We start from the raw sequence: 15537 nt of genomic DNA on the forward strand, positions 1-15537 counted from the left end.
TCAGCTATGCACATGTACAGAAATATTGAGAATAAGAAATATGTATGGAAAAGTACTCAGCTCCGTAAAGAAGAGATGGTTAAAACTAAAGAATCTGGCCTTTCTTCTCTTCATGAAAGCATGGCTTAGTGTGCTTTACTAAGTCAGGATTTAGTTTACAGGGGAGGGAATCCCTTAGAATGACTGATTGGGACGCAGAGAAAGAAACTTAGATGATCGAACAGTTGTCGTGGAGAGTGAAAAAATACTCGTTTAAAAATGCTCAGGATACAGGCTGTGAGTAAAGCCCATGGAATGTAATAGTGAAGTTGAAAATGAGAAACTCAAGCAGGGTTAAACAGGGCTGCCTGTAGAGTGTTGGGGCAGAGCCAGGGCTGCCACTCTGCAGTCCTGCACCCTTCTCTGAGCTGCAGCTGGCGGGCAGTGACTTCGATTGGCTGCTGGGGATACCACTGCTTTCTCGCGACAGTACATACTTTGTTAGAAACATAGTGATCTTGTAACGTGAGTCTAGAGAGAACCCTATTCTAGAGTCATGAAGGGTCCATGGATTTTCCTCTGCCTTAACATGGGGGAGTATTGCTAAGTAAGCTGATGGTGGTCCTCAAGAAATAAAAGTTAATTTAGATAGAGTCGTGATTTGTAGAGGGAAATAAATTACAGTGGTTTATGAAGCATGTGTGAAAAATGGAAAGATATGCGAGGAATGTGATTTTTATGTTTCTGAACTTTTTGAACTCAAGCTCGCTATCATTGCTGTGTCTCCTCTTAGAGGATCCCCGAGGGGTCTGACTGCTTCAGGCGTGGTGGGCGGTGGGCTGCATGGCCTGAGTGCTGCAGTCCTCACAGCAGCCCCGAGAGGCCTGGCTGTTGCTGTTTCCTGCTTTGCAGGAGCCTGTTCTGGAAGAATTCTGTGGACTACCATTGGGAGCATTAGGATTCCAAGTTAAAGAGGACTAAACAAACCACTTTAAACACACTTGAAATGAGCTCTGTAAAACACATGAGGAAAACATAAGAGAAATCAGCTCGCCTTGGGTAAAGCTGTGATTTGCTGTCTCACCCGTTCACTGGTGGCAATTTTCATCTGATTTTTTTTTCTTTTTGAGTAGAGGACTAGATTACAAATGTATAATTTTAAGTAAAATAAAGTTAAATGTAATGTTTGTTGGTAATGTTACTGAGATCATAGTAAGTATTGGATTAATTTTTCATTAGCTGCTGAAATTTCGTTATACTAGAAATAGACTTGCGCTCTCTGACCTGTGTGAAGTCTTTTTGGGCTGATGTTTTGATTGGGTGCTAGAGAGCTGCTTTCTCTTTGATGGAATGTGCAAGACCTCTCTCAGCCATGCTAGGTAAGAATGAATGTTTCTTTACCCTTAGGTTTTTCTGTGTAGTTTATCGATAGCACTTTGTAGTAGTTTTCTTGGATTAAAAATTAAGAACTTATCTTGAAACAAGAATGGCCTAACATTCCTTTGAAGCTGGGCAGTGGATGCATGGAGGGCCACCTGTCACTCTCTCCTTTTGTGTGCATTTGAACATTTCCATGATAAAAAGTTAAGCTAAAAGGCAACTTGCAGTTTCTTGAATGTCAGTTTTGAGATCATATTAAACCTAAGCTTTGAGATTGCGTAAGACGCTTCCATCCCCCAGGCGAGGATCTGTGTTCTGAGGGGCTGGTGTTGTTTATGCCCCTTTGCTCTTGTGTTGCTCCTTCATTACCTGCCTCCCTTTCAGTGTAAGAATGTGTCCTCCAGCCACCACTGCAGTTGCTGGTTGTTTTTATAAGCTTGTTTTTCATCTGTGAAACCGTCAGCCCCCTGCCTCGGGACAGATTTCCTGTCTTGGGATATAGGCAGGCTTGAACAGTTTGATGTTGCGTTTACTGCTTTGCACTGCAGTGGAGGTTTTCACTTGTCTGCGGTGCCCCTCCACCATTCCAAGGAAAGAACAGTCAGGGGAGAGTTCTTACCCACTTCCAGAGGCTGAACTAAATCGAGCTCTTTATCCAGTTCGGCTCTGTGATGGGCCTCGGTGGTGAAGAATGTGGTAGGCGCCAGTTGTAGATTTAGGTATGGTTTTTCTCATAGATAAGGCATGAGTTCATACTTCACTCTTTGTTCGACACCGCTGGAATTCCTGGTGACTGCTGTGCTTTTAGTCTTCAACTGCTGGCTGCTGATTGGTACAGCCTTGAGTGCTGAATGCTGTTCTCAGAGTTTGGGGATGGCGTTTGTGAGGTGATTGTCCCCATCATCCTTCATTTCTGGGAGAGGTGACTTGATTTCTTAAAGTGCTGCTTCTGCTTCTGGAAACCAGGGACCTGTACGTCTGGCACAGTCCTGATGCTGGCAGCTAACCTTGGCTTTGGACCAGTCACCGAGTGTATTTCCAAGACATGCAAGAAATTATATCCAAATGTATTGTACACATTGTTAAATATTTTCATATACCATATTTTGTCAATTCAAAGACTTCTCTTTTTAAGTCATTTTAACACATCTGGAAGTACGTGTATCTTACAGTTGATGGTATGCCATAATGTAATTGACAGTATTTGGTGGAATATAAAGGCATTGTCTAATTTTTGGCATCTTATATTGGTTGACATGAGGAAACTGAAGCTTAGAGAAGATATTTACCCAAGATCACAGCACTCAGAAATAGTAAAGTTGGAGTAAAAATTGTGTCTCCGTCCTTTGGCAAGCATTTCTCCTTCTGTAAAGGAAATTATAGGTGCTCTTAGAGAGCGGAGGAGAGGGTATTGTTGGTGTGAAGCAGCACTCCAGAGTGTCCTGGTTTTGGATTGTTAGGGTAATTTCAGAACATGGGATACAATAAAGTAATCAGGTGATTAATATCCAAGATACTGATGGGTGGTGCTTTGGCTCCAGGCATCAGAAAGAGGCCGTTAAGGAGCATGGTGGGCATAGATGACTGTGCCCGGCCAGGTCGTGTGTGCCTGGATGGGGTCTCTTCTCCCTTTGGGTTAGGGCAGTGGGGGAACTGTCTTCACTCCCCTCCAGTTACTAAATTTTATTGACACGTAACGTACATAGAAAACCAGTTCATGTATTGTGTGCATACAGCGTGATGTATTGCATGATGAAGTTTTATACATGGAACATTCCCGTGTAAGCACCCAGATGAGGAGGCAGAGCATGACCAGCCTCCAACTCCTCGATGGAGCTTGCGTTCCCCAAGGTATCTGCTGTCCTGATGTCTGATGGTGAAGATGAGTTTTATCCATTTTTGTATTTTTTTTAGCAATGGGATTCTGTGGCATATCCTTTTGTTGTTGTTGTTGTAACGACTGGCTTGTTTTTCTCAACTGAATGATTTAGATTCCCTTAGAGTGTCATGTTGAGTCCAGACAGGTAACAAGCTACAGTTTCAGGAGAGCTTTTTAAAAAAGGGAAAAAAACCCCACAATGATAAAATAGTGATGAAATCCATCTCTTCCAGCTTCCTGTAACACTACTGACAGTGAACGGACCCCTCACTCAGCTGCCGTGATTTTAGGCTGAACGTGGTAGTATAGAGTGTGTAGTTGGAATATAGCCTTTTCTAGGACACCCTTTTCCAGCCAGTCCCATGCATCTTGCGCTCTGATGGAGCACTTCTTGGCATGTTCTAAGTAACCTGTCTTGAGAGTAATAGGCAGAAAGAACATTACAGAGCCCACATGTCCTTCAGTGTAATGACTGCTGAAGAATGGAGGTATGTTGCGACGTTTCACCTGGATACCTGGATCTGAAACAGCTGCCTGCCCCCTGTACCCTTCCTTGGATTCCCCGCTCTCTTAGACGCCGCCCTTTCTTTCTGGGGTGTTGCATTGATGAAGTAATGTCAGTAGGCGTGCCTCCCTCACCCGTACCTTAAGTGTAGAGCGTGCATGCATTTGCACACTCAAGACTGAGGTGGAACTCCGCTGCCTCTTGATCATACCTCATCTCCCCTCTGCTTCCATTCAGGCCTGCCCTGGCCTCAGCCCTGGTGCTGGCTGGAGCCTCAGGGCTGGCCAAGGGTGATCTCGGGCACCTGACCTGGGAAGGGGCCTGCTGCGCCTGCGTTGCTTTGCTCACCACAGCTGTGTTCTGGCATTGGAGCTGATCACCAGGGTGCATGCACTGTGAGCCTGTTTTCCACAAGGCCGGCGTGCCCAGGTGACGTTGGATTACTTACAGGAGAGCATGGTCGCGATCACAGCAGACAGCTAGTGAGTGGAGATGGTGGTTTGCAAAAAGAGAACTTGACATAGCACAGTGAACTCGGGTCACGTTTCACCACACAAGAGCAAGGAACACGTGACAGTTTCTGGATGGGATCTTCAGTTGCAATGGCAAACTTGACCCTGCCCCTTGTTGGTCACAGGGCCCAGAGAGCTTTGTGTCTGCGCTGGTAATTGTTCGCTGGCGCTTTTGTTGCCAAACACTGAAGAGAGGCTTCTTGATTAAATATGAAATATGCATTAAGTATTTCACTTATGAATTTGAATTACTAAATACATATTTATAATTAATACTTAATCTGTAAACACATTTAAATAGATAAGTATTAAATATTTTTGGAATAATATTACAGCTACTCCTTATTGAGGATCTGTTGTGACCTCTTTGCTTTGATGCTTTACCTTTTAAAAATGTTTTTTTTTTCAGTGATTTATACATTCACTTAAAGTCAGGTGATTCGCTGAGACCTGCTATTAGGAAAAAACAGTAGGGACGGCCACTTTTAATTTTTTTCCACTAGTTCTTTTTTTGTTTTGATTTTTATGGTGCATAGTTCATCTATATTTATGGGGTACACGAGCTGTCTTGATACAGACATACAATGCGTCATAATCATATCAGAGTAACTGGGGGCATCCGTCCCCTCTAGCATCCATGACTTCTGAGTGCTGGTTCTTAAGGAGTGCTTTCTAATGCGGATAGTTGTTAAGTTTGGTGTCCTGCGGGGCTGAGGGGGCGATCTTGCTGGAGGATTGTATTTGGCTGTCCTGCTCCTCCGTTGGTGCTTTGTAGGTATTTGCCTGTGTGTCTCTAAATAAAGTGCCCTTTTTTTTTGTTTTTCCTTAATTTGGGGTGATATCAATGTGGACTCCCACAGAGAAAGAGGGGCTGGTGCTGTTTTCCTCCCCTGGCCCCTTGACCTGCATAAATGCCTAGGCCTGTCGTCCCCATGGCTGAGTTCCACCCTGGTTTCACTGAGATCGGTGTTCAGGGTAACATGACGAGGCGAATAATATTTGGAGCAGAGCCACGTTGTATGCTATGACTGTTCTTACCTTTCTAATATTTTGTTTTCGAGAATTAGTAATTCTCGTTTCTTTGTTTAGTTTTCTGTGTATGTTTTGCAGGTTGCAGATCTAGTCTTTTGCGTATTTCTAAGGGTCTCTTTGACATTCAAACACATTAATTTTTCTCTTCTCTTCCCGATTAACTAAGCTCTTGGAGCCTGTGCCCTACTTGAATCTCTCTTGGTTGTGAGCCAGGCTGGCCGCACAGCTGCTGCCTCTGAGCCGCCTTCCATTGTCACCTGGGACACTCCCCCTGACTGTGTAGATCTCCTCTGCCTCTTTCTTTTCAGTTTTTTTGTTAATTCCCCTGTTTTGGAGAAGCACATTTTTAACTCCTTCAGAAAGTGGTGCGTGGGAGGTAAATTTTTGAGATCTTGTATATCTGCAGGTGTCTGTTTTATTAATAACTTTTTTGTCTTTAGTTTTCAGAAGTTTAATTTATGGTATGAATTGGTTTGAATTTCTTTAGGTTTATACTAGTTGGGGTTCACGCAGGTTCCTGGATTGGTATATTTATGTCTTCTGTCAAATTTGGGATATTCTGAGCCATATTTTCTTACCCTGCTTTTCAGCTCTGCCCTCTTAGACTCAGCTTCTGAGACTGATACCAGTGTTTGAAGTTCTTTTATTTCCCACAAGTCCCTGGGACTGAGTGTTGCTGGATGGGGGGGTGATGATTGGCCTGCTAGTGGTAGAGCGGGGGCTGTATGTCAAGAAGTGTGGGTGGTCTCAGGCCTTCCCTGTGGCTGGGTGGAGGGCAGGGAGAAGCCAGTGTGGGCAGATGGAATCACCTGCTGCCACCTGGTGGGGATAGAGGCCTGGACTCTGCTGATGTCACTGGTGGGGATAGAGGCCTGGACTCTGCTGATGTCGCTGGTGGGGATAGAGGCCTGGACTCTGCTGATGTCGCTGGTGGGGATAGAGGCCTGGACTCTGCTGATGTCGCTGGTGGGGATAGAGGCCTGGACTCTGCTGATGTTGCTGGTGGGGATAGAGGCCTGGACTCTGCTGATGTCGCTGGTGTTCCCTAGAGCTCTGAACGTTCTGTGCAGTCTGTGGGACACTGCGTTGCAGGTGGGCTGGGCTCGCTTACCATCAGTGGTAGGGAAGAGGGGTGGGCCGGGGCTGAGGTCTGCCAGGCGGCCCTTTTCTTGCTCCTGTGCCGGCACGAGCAGGCTTCTCCTAGGGTTGTCAGGCTGTGCGCTTTGGTAGTTCTGCATCTCCAGCCTCCAGAGCTCTGTCCGGGGCAGATGGAAATCAAACAGGCCCCAGCCCCTCTGCCTTCCTCTTTCTGCCTTTCAGAAATCTGAAAATATGCACAGTTTCTGAGAAAAATGCGAATTAAAATACGAGGTACTGTTTCTTGTCAGTTTGGCAATATTGAGTGTTGGTGGAAGTTTGAAATGAGCACTTTTAGATACTGTTGCTGGGGATGTTGCTTGGTGTAGTTTGTAGAAACTTTTTGGAGGACAATTTAGAAAGATGTATTAAAAAGTTAACTGTAATAAATATGTCTTCTGACCAGAATTTAATGTATAGCTGGTTTACAGGTATATTCAAAGATAGACATACAAATATTTTTAATGCAGCCTTGTCTACACAAGGAAAGTACTGTATATGGTATCTGGAAATATACTGGAAATAATCTAAAAATCCACTAATGGAGAGTGGGTTCCATAATGAGTGGTATAGTCATATAGCATAACATTAAGTGTTATGTAAGCACCAGTAAGTACTGCCAGATAAATGACATGTTGTCTTAACTTTTGTGACTTGTGGAGAAGTGCGTGTAGTGTGACTCTGTCTCTGTCACATGGATGTGTCTGATTAGGCATCACAGTGGCAGACCAGGACCTTTGAATGCTGTGAAGAGGGTGTCCTCTGGGGCTGGAGTGGTGCTGGTGGTGGTCATGGGGCACTGGAAGGGAGGAAACTGAAATTTCTCTAAATGTATTTCTACTGTTGGGCAATTATGCTACCTTTGTACTAGTAAAGTATAATCCATTTTATAATGAAGTAGACTGTTCTTGGTATAATTTTTCTCCCACTCTTCTTCCCCTTTTAGGACATGACCGATAATAGCAACAATCAACTGGTAGTAAGAGCAAAGTTTAACTTCCAGCAGACCAATGAGGACGAGCTTTCCTTCTCAAAAGGAGACGTCATCCATGTCACCCGTGTGGAAGAGGGAGGCTGGTGGGAGGGCACACTCAACGGCCGGACCGGCTGGTTCCCCAGCAACTACGTGCGCGAGGTCAAGGCCAGCGGTAAGTGGCCGAGCCTGGGCTGTGTGTGGCTTTTTGCGATGAGCAGAAAGAAGTAAATGTACTTGACATAGTGTTTACTCTCCAGCTGGACCTGTGCAAATGACCTGGTCTTAGGATACAGTTTTTTGTTAGATGTAATGGATTTTCACCTCAGCCCCACATTGGGGCCCTGGCATCAAGGGCTCTCTAGTTACTAGCCAGCATTTCCTTTCATCCTGGCATTTTCCAGACGTGAAGAGAAACATCTCGAATCTTTATCATTGCAGTTTTACTGTGAAAGAATTGATCTTTTTTTTTTTTTTTAAGAGCTAGTGTCAGGACTTGGAGTTGGCAGTCCGCAGGCTGTGTTTAATTTTTGTGACTATGGGTGGTACTTTTGGCAGTGGTGTGCAATGAAGTAATTTCTGTCATTCTCTTTGTACTAGTGATAGTATTTTACAAATGCATTGCTTCCTTATGTTTTGTAGTTGTTCACATTGTTTCACTGACTTTCCGATTTTGAGGCTTGTGTTCTTATGAAAGAATAGTGATCCTCGGCACATGGCTATGGCTGCCGGGCTGTCGTGCTTCTTGTGGAAGCGTGTGGGTGGGTGGACAGAGGTGGGGGGTGGGATTTGTGAAGGGAACAATCATGTGTGTCACTTTACTTGCATCCTGCCCTGTAGTTGAAAAACACCGTTGTATACTACAGTTCCTCAGATTCTGCTGGGGAAAGAGTGACTTACAGAGAATAGCTGATACACAGGGAGCTGTGGAAAGGACATGATACAAAATTGTAGCTCTGCTCTAGGGCTTGGGTGACTGAGCCTCAGAGCCACAGGTGTTTCATATGGAAAATGAGGATGATAGTTCTCCCTTGTGCGGTCTTGTGGGGTTGAATTGTTAAGGTTTATACTATGTGTATGGAGTCTGGCAGAGTAGGAGCTCAGGGAATGTTAATGGCTGCTATTGTTTTTCTAAGGTAGCAAGAAAAAAAGATTTACAAATGGGAATATGACAATTTTGATGTAAAAATATTTTCTCAGTGACCTCAGAAAACAAGTATTTTAATAAGGCAGATGGCAGCCCTTATTTGTAAACTTCTCTGGTGTTGGAATTTTTAGGAACAGCACCTGCCTGTTCTTATTGTATGTATATGTATACATATATGTAAAGCAGTTCGCCATTTTTACCAGTTCTAAGTGTACTGTTCAGTAGCACTAGGTACATTCACAGTTTTATAACCATCACCACCGTTTATCTCCAGAACTGTTTCTTCTCAAACTGAATTCTGTTCCCATTAAACAGTCCCCATTCCCCTCCCCAGCCCCTGCCCTCTACCATTCTGCTTTCTGTCTCTGAATTTGATTACCGTTGGTGCTTCGTGTAAGTGCAGTCATTTTGTCTTTTGACTGCTTATTTCATTCAGCATAAAGTGCTGGAGGGTTTTCCATGCTGTAGCATATGACAGAGTTACCTTCCTTTGTAAGGCTGAATAATATTTCATCATATGTATGTACAACATTGTGTGTTGATGGGAACTTGGGTTACTTTCACCTCTTGGCTATGTGAATAATGCTGCTAGGAGCATGGTTGTGTAAGTATTTGAGTCCTTGCTTTTCAGTTCTTTTCTGTATATACCCAGAAGTGGAATTGCTGGGTCAGATGGTGGTTCTGTGATTAAGTCTGGAGGAACTGCCACGTGGTTTTCCCCAGCGGCTGGACCATGTCGCATTCCCACAAGCAGTGCACAGGGTTCTGCTGCTTCTGTGTTCTCGCCAACTTGTTTTTTTTTTTCTTAAAGTAATAGCCATCCTGTTGGATGTGAAGTTGCTACTGTTTTTTGTAGTTGTTAATAATGATAATTTAAAAGGCAGTATTTTTTATTATAATAAATCGACTTGGGCAGAATTTTTTTCCGGCTGCTTGTTATGTTCCAGTTAATGTATAAAGTACTTTCCATTTGCAACTTCAGTTCTCCTCATAACCCTTGAAGACAAGTATTGCTGGGATATTAAGAAGGGGGTGGGTTGCAAGTACATGACATCCTTTAAAAAAATCCGTTCATGTGTAGAGCCCACTGAGAGCGCGGCACTGGCACCATGCTGAGGCGTGGAAATGTCAACTTGATAGACATCACTGTTAGGAGATGCAGTTTAGTCTGTGACTCAGTTGGATGGCACTGGCCTGCATGAGCCTTCCTGGAGACCTAGGGCTAGGGCAGGCCCGGTCCATCCTGTGAGCCCATCTCCTAGCCCAGCCCCACCAGTTGGAGAGATCTTTTTCCTGGGAACCAATGAGAGCAGCCCTGGGCCGAGAGGCCTGAGGTGGCGCCAGTGGACTTTCCAGGAGGACACTTGAGCCAGGGCAGAGGAAGGAGGACCTCGTTCGTTGCTCACCTTTGCCAAGGAGAGTTGAGGTTACAGAACTGCTAAGTGGGACGCACCTTTGGAGTAGGGACAGACGCTTGTTCCAGCTGGTCTTTCTGACTTTCTTTAATTCTTAAGTGAACTCCTCCTTTAAGTGTGAATCCTGGACTGACTCTGAACCACCACAGTAAGAGTGCAGGTGAGTGGGGTTTTACTTTTCATGTATTTCTCCTTGTGGATTTTTTAGAAGTAACCCAGAGCAAGGAAATTACGCTGAAAAGATGGGGTTTGTGGATCTCAAAATCCTCTCCAGTTGGAAGTGATTTTCAGACACATTTGAATGTCGTCAGTGTCATCTGCCGTGGGAATTTGTCTTGCAGTATGCTGTTACCCCTGATAGCCCACAGGAAGGCATCGTGAGCCCCCGCTTTTGAGTGGACTGTGGGCCCTTGAGCTGGCAGCAGCAGAGGACGCCCTCCAAAGGACCGGCAGGGCGTGTTTAGAAACATGGCTCTCATGAGGAACAGTGCTCTCACTTTGTTCTACCCGAAGCCACTACTCATGTCTTAGGCGTGTCTGAGCGTGTGTGCGTGCCCGGTTTCAACGTATGTGCGTGTACATGGTGTGTTGCCATCAAGGAGCTCTTTGCAGGGGCCACACGGAATCCATAGGTGTATTAGGGTGCTTTAGAGGGACAGAACTAATAGTATTCTCCTGTTAGTTATATATATAGATATAGATAGATATATAGATATGAAGGGAACTTTATTAAGGGGAGTTTATTATATATACATGTTATATATATATAAAGGGGAGATATATATATATCTACATATACATATATACATATACATCCCCCTATTGTGGGACCTTGTGATCATGTAAGTTAATACCTAATAAACTCCCTTTCATATATATATAGATATATATGTCTATATATATCTATATAGATATATATGTCTATATATATCTATATAGATATATATGTCTATATATATCTATATAGATATATATGTCTATATATATCTATATAGATATATATGTCTATATATATCTATATAGATATATATGTCTATATATATCTATATATAGATATATATGTCTATATATATCTATATATATGTCTATATATATATCTATATATATATCTATATATATAGATGTCTATATATCTATATATATAGATGTCTATATATCTATATATAGATATATATATCTATATATATAGATATATAGACATCTATATATATAGATATATATAGACATATATATATCTATATATATAGATATATATCTATATATATCTATATATAGATACATATCTATATATCTATATATATAGATACATATCTATATATATCTATATATAGATATATATCTCCCCTTTATATGTATATATATATGTATCTCCCCTTTATATATATATATAACATGTATATATAATAAACTCCCCTTAATAAACCCCTTGATATATCTATCTGTATCTATCTATATATACAGCTAATAGGAGAATATTATTAGTTCTGTCCCTCTATTACTTCTGTCCCTCTAAAGAACCCTCATACACCTATGGATTCATATATGTATGTATATGTGTACGTGTACGTATATGTGTATATGTATACAAGGTCCCACGATAGGCCATCTACAGGCTGAGGAGCAAGGAGAGCCAGTCCGAGTCTCAAAACTGAAGAAATTGGAGGCTGATGTTTGAGGGCAAGAAGCATCCAGCATGGGAGAAAGATGTAGGCTGGGAGGCTAGGTCAGTCTCGCCTTTTCACGTTTTTCTGCCTGCTTTATATTTGCTGGAAGCTGATTAGGTGGTGCCCAGCAGCTTAAGGGTGGGTCTGCCTTTCCCAGTTCACGGACTCAAATGTGAATCTCCTTTAGCAACACCCTCACAGACACACCCAGGATTAATGCTTTGTGTCCTTCAATCCAATCAAGTTGGCACTGAGTATTAACCATCACAATAGGGTTTGTGCCAAACTGAGACCTAAGTAACTTTGGAAAATTTCCCTTTTTTTCCTGTTTATTTTTTAAAATTCAAGAAATGTCATTTTTGAGCATATTAGTGATGCATTTGCTAAACTTTATCTGATGGTTGAACCAAAGGAATAACCTTCTGTCCCTGTTGTTCTCTAATTACCTAAGCATATTGTATGGAAAGTCATGCTAGTTTTATTTTAGTTTATTTATTTTTAATTTTATTTTACTATTTTATTTTGAGATGGAGTTTCACTCTTGTTGCCCAGGCTGGAGTGCAGTGATGCTCACTGCAACCTTTGCTTCCTGGGTTCAAGCGATTCTCCTGCCCCAGCCTCCCGAGTAGCTGGGATTATAGGCACGTGCCACCATGCCTGGCTAATTTTTGTATTTTTAGTAGAGATAGGGTTTTACCATGTTGGCAGGCTGGTCTTGAACTTCTGACCTCAAGTGATCCACCTGCCTCAGCCTCCCAAAGTGCTGGGATTACAGGCGTGAGCCACCACGCCCAGCCCAGTCTGAGTTTAACCGTGGGCATTTGAGGCAAGTGTGAAACCACATTTTTTACCGTGTTACTCTAGAGCAGTTAAGAATAAAACTCTAGGATCACAATTACATTCAGTACAGCAGACTTCCCTCTCACCTCTGGCTTTGCGTAATGTGGTTACAAGTACCTGCAGTCAACTGTGGTTCGAAACAGGTGAGAACAATACAGTAAGATATCTTGAGAGAAGAGACCACATTCACATAACTTTAGTTATAGTATATTGTTATAATTGTTCTATTTCATTATTAGTTGTTGTTAATCCATTATTGTACCTAATTTCCAGATTAAACACACATAGGTATGTATAGATGGGAAAACATAGTATATATAGGGTTGGTATATATACAGAGATATAGCTGCAGTTTCAGACATCCAGTGGGCAGTCTTGTGGGTACCCCCGTGGATAAGGGTGGGCGGCTATATTGCATTTTTTCCAGTAGTTTATGTGGCTTTCTGATTTTGGAATTAGGTTTCCTTTTTTGAAGAGTGTGTTAAATGTATTTTGATTTATAGTTAATTAGTGCTTGATTTTTCTGAAAACAAAATTGTGCCAGGTTCCAAACTTAGAGACTTCTCTGACCATCATGTTAGGATCATTTCTTTATTCATGAAAACACTGACTTCCTTTAAATTGAGGGTTTCTCTTCTGAATTATATTTTAATTTGATGTACAAATAGTTTTACTGAGTAAACAAGAACTGAAGTTTTTCTCTAAATGGCACTTTTTTAGGCTGTTTATCTCCAGATAAATTGACCAGATGGTCCAATTCACCTCTCCTGCTTCCCTGGGGAAGTGTAGCCATTGGTGGTTTGCCCTCTTGTGGTCGGAGATGGAATTGTTCTTGTCAAGGTTCACCGTTGTGTTGGTGCTTTTAACCTGTGGTGTAGGATTTCTTGTTTGAATAGTCCCTCTTTGAAGACAGATAAAATGTTCTAGGATTCTGTAATAACGATCTTTCTAATGCTTGTGTCAAAAGCATTGTATATTATTCCTGAATATGTACAGTACAGTCTTATGGAAGGTAAATAATTGTCACTTAGCATTTATTTTCTGTGCACCTTTTTTGGTTAGGTAAAACCCATGGATTTCTATAGCATTTTTTTTTTTTTTTTGAGACAGAGTCTTGCTCTGTTGCCCAGGCTGGAGTGCAGTGGCATAATCTCAGCTCACTGCAACCTCCACCTCCTGGGTTCAAGCGATTCTCCTACCCCAGCCTCCCAAGTAGCTGGGATTACAGGTGCCCGCCACCACGCCCGGCTAATTTGTGTATTTTTAGTAGAGACAGGGTTTCACCATGTCAGCCAGGCTGGCCTCGAACACCTGACCTTGTCATCTGCCCGCCTCAGCCTCCCAAAGTGCTGGGATTACAGGCATGAGCCACCGCAGCCAGCGTCTACAGCATTTTTTACAGGCTGATATGTATTTGTGTTTCACACCCACCCACCCACCCTCACTCTTACTCCCTTGCTTCAGAATTTCCTAAATTCAAGGGAGAAGTTAAGGAGAGAAGCAGCAAGGTCCATTCTGGAAGTGAGTGGTGATGGTGGTTGCTGTGATTGGATAGAAGTGGAGGCACTCAGCTGCATGTGGCACACACGGTTAGCAGCTGTGAGAACACACCTCGTGCTCTGTGTGCTTCCAAGACCAGTTTTCTGTGTGTGCATGTGGACTCAGGCTTTTTTAGATGATTATTTCTAATGTGCTGACTTTAGTCATTCTCCTATTTCTGGACAGCTTATTATCTGTTGTAAAGACATTTCTTTTAAATGCTGTTTTGGGGGCTGGTTAGCTTGAGATGATGACTGTCTGTGTTTGGCAGTGATGTGAGAGCTTAAATGGGACTGTCATTTGCTGATCCACAGATCTTTAACGACATTGCCACTTTTTAAGTTGGTCACTTTTAAATATTTTTTACTTATTTTTGACATAAAGCAACACGCAGCTGAATTTTGGATGTCGTTATTAATTTAGCTGTGGAGGAACAGTGTTTGATGTGAGTATAATCTGTGCGGGGAAAAGGACAAAAGTACCCCAGAACCTTGCCTTCCTTCGTGCCACTGGATGTGAGCTTGTGCTGTAGTCCTTCCTCCTCTCCGGTGAGGATTGGGTTTGGATGGGACACATGAGGCTGCATTACAGGATGGACCTCTCAGCACTATTGTTTCAAGATGTAATTGTTTTTAAACAAGAGAGAAGAACATAAATTAGAAGATATGGGCCCCCCGAGGCAGGCGTAGGGAGCGTATTATAGCATTATGTACAAAGGGGTCTTGGAGTAGATGGTTTGGAAATGTTTCTGGCGTGTGAAAGTGAATATTTTCCTAGATTGGTATACCGAGCATGTCCTCACTGCAATGTGGCTGCCTCCCGTTGTCGGTGATGATTACACATCTTCCGTTTCAGGAGCACGTCCCATAGACCAGCTGACTTAGAGTAATTAGGGGTCAGGTTGTTAGTCTTCCAGTATTAGAGCTTCTCTTTTTTAAAAAAGTTTTATTTGCATTTATGCTTAAGTAATTGTATTACTTACATGCCACATGCTTGTAGCATGTGATAGCCAGTAGACGGAAGAGCTCATGTGGGGAAGAGCACAGGCCACCCACTCCCACAGCCCTGATCCAGGGAGAGGCGTTACTCACCTCCTCTCCTCTCCTACGTAGCTGCCTCGCAACTCTTCACAGTATGCAGAGACTTCTCTGCTTAGATTTATAGGGCGTATCTCACTTTATTGCACTTTGCTTGTTTTTTTGTTTTTTTTTTTTTCTCTTACAAATGGAAGGCTTGTGGCAACACTGTTGGTGCCATTTTTCCAGCACCATGTGCCCACTTGTCCCAGTGCTTCATTTGGGTAATTCTTGCACGATTTCACAGCTTTTCATTATTGTATCCGTTATGGTGATCTGTGATCAGGGACCTTTGGTGTTACTGTTAGAATTGTTTTGGGGTGCCATGAACCATGCCCATGTAAGATGGCAGACTTAATTGATAAATGTTGTGTGTATTCTGACTGCCCTACTGACCGGGAATTCCCCATGTTTTTCCCCAGGCCACTCATTCCCTGAGACACAAAAATACTGAAATTA

At 42.7% G+C, this 15537-nt stretch overlaps 1 protein-coding gene across 56 annotated transcripts in view, besides 3 other annotated features; it reads left to right on the plus strand.

Moving 5' to 3' along the window:
• Positions 1-15537, plus strand: part of ARHGEF7 (Rho guanine nucleotide exchange factor 7) — a 191116-nt gene that overhangs the window by 95690 nt on the left and 79889 nt on the right. For all 56 annotated transcript variants that reach the window (XR_007063704.1, XM_047430722.1, XM_006719956.4 and 53 more), the window contains one exon: positions 7371-7572. Coding sequence is in view for 55 of the 56 variants with exons in the window: in XM_047430722.1 (XP_047286678.1) it covers positions 7371-7572 (202 nt within the window). In the remaining variant the exon portion in view is untranslated. The remainder of the gene's footprint in view (positions 1-7370; positions 7573-15537) is intronic.
• Positions 1380-1907: an enhancer, noted in NCBI's record as "OCT4-NANOG-H3K27ac hESC enhancer chr13:111864035-111864562 (GRCh37/hg19 assembly coordinates)". NCBI's record gives its function as "activates a minimal SCP1, AML or CMV promoter by ChIP-STARR-seq in primed H9 embryonic stem cells {active_cell/tissue: H9 hESC(primed)}" and the evidence as "EXISTENCE:reporter gene assay evidence [ECO:0000049][PMID:30033119]".
• Positions 3561-4096: an enhancer, noted in NCBI's record as "H3K27ac-H3K4me1 hESC enhancer chr13:111866216-111866751 (GRCh37/hg19 assembly coordinates)". NCBI's record gives its function as "activates a minimal SCP1, AML or CMV promoter by ChIP-STARR-seq in naive H9 embryonic stem cells {active_cell/tissue: H9 hESC(naive)}" and the evidence as "EXISTENCE:reporter gene assay evidence [ECO:0000049][PMID:30033119]".
• Positions 4632-5166: an enhancer, noted in NCBI's record as "NANOG-H3K27ac hESC enhancer chr13:111867287-111867821 (GRCh37/hg19 assembly coordinates)". NCBI's record gives its function as "activates a minimal SCP1, AML or CMV promoter by ChIP-STARR-seq in naive H9 embryonic stem cells {active_cell/tissue: H9 hESC(naive)}" and the evidence as "EXISTENCE:reporter gene assay evidence [ECO:0000049][PMID:30033119]".

The sequence above is a fragment of the Homo sapiens genome, chromosome 13 (genome assembly GCF_000001405.40).
Source record: "Homo sapiens chromosome 13, GRCh38.p14 Primary Assembly".
NCBI lineage: Eukaryota > Metazoa > Chordata > Mammalia > Primates > Hominidae > Homo > Homo sapiens.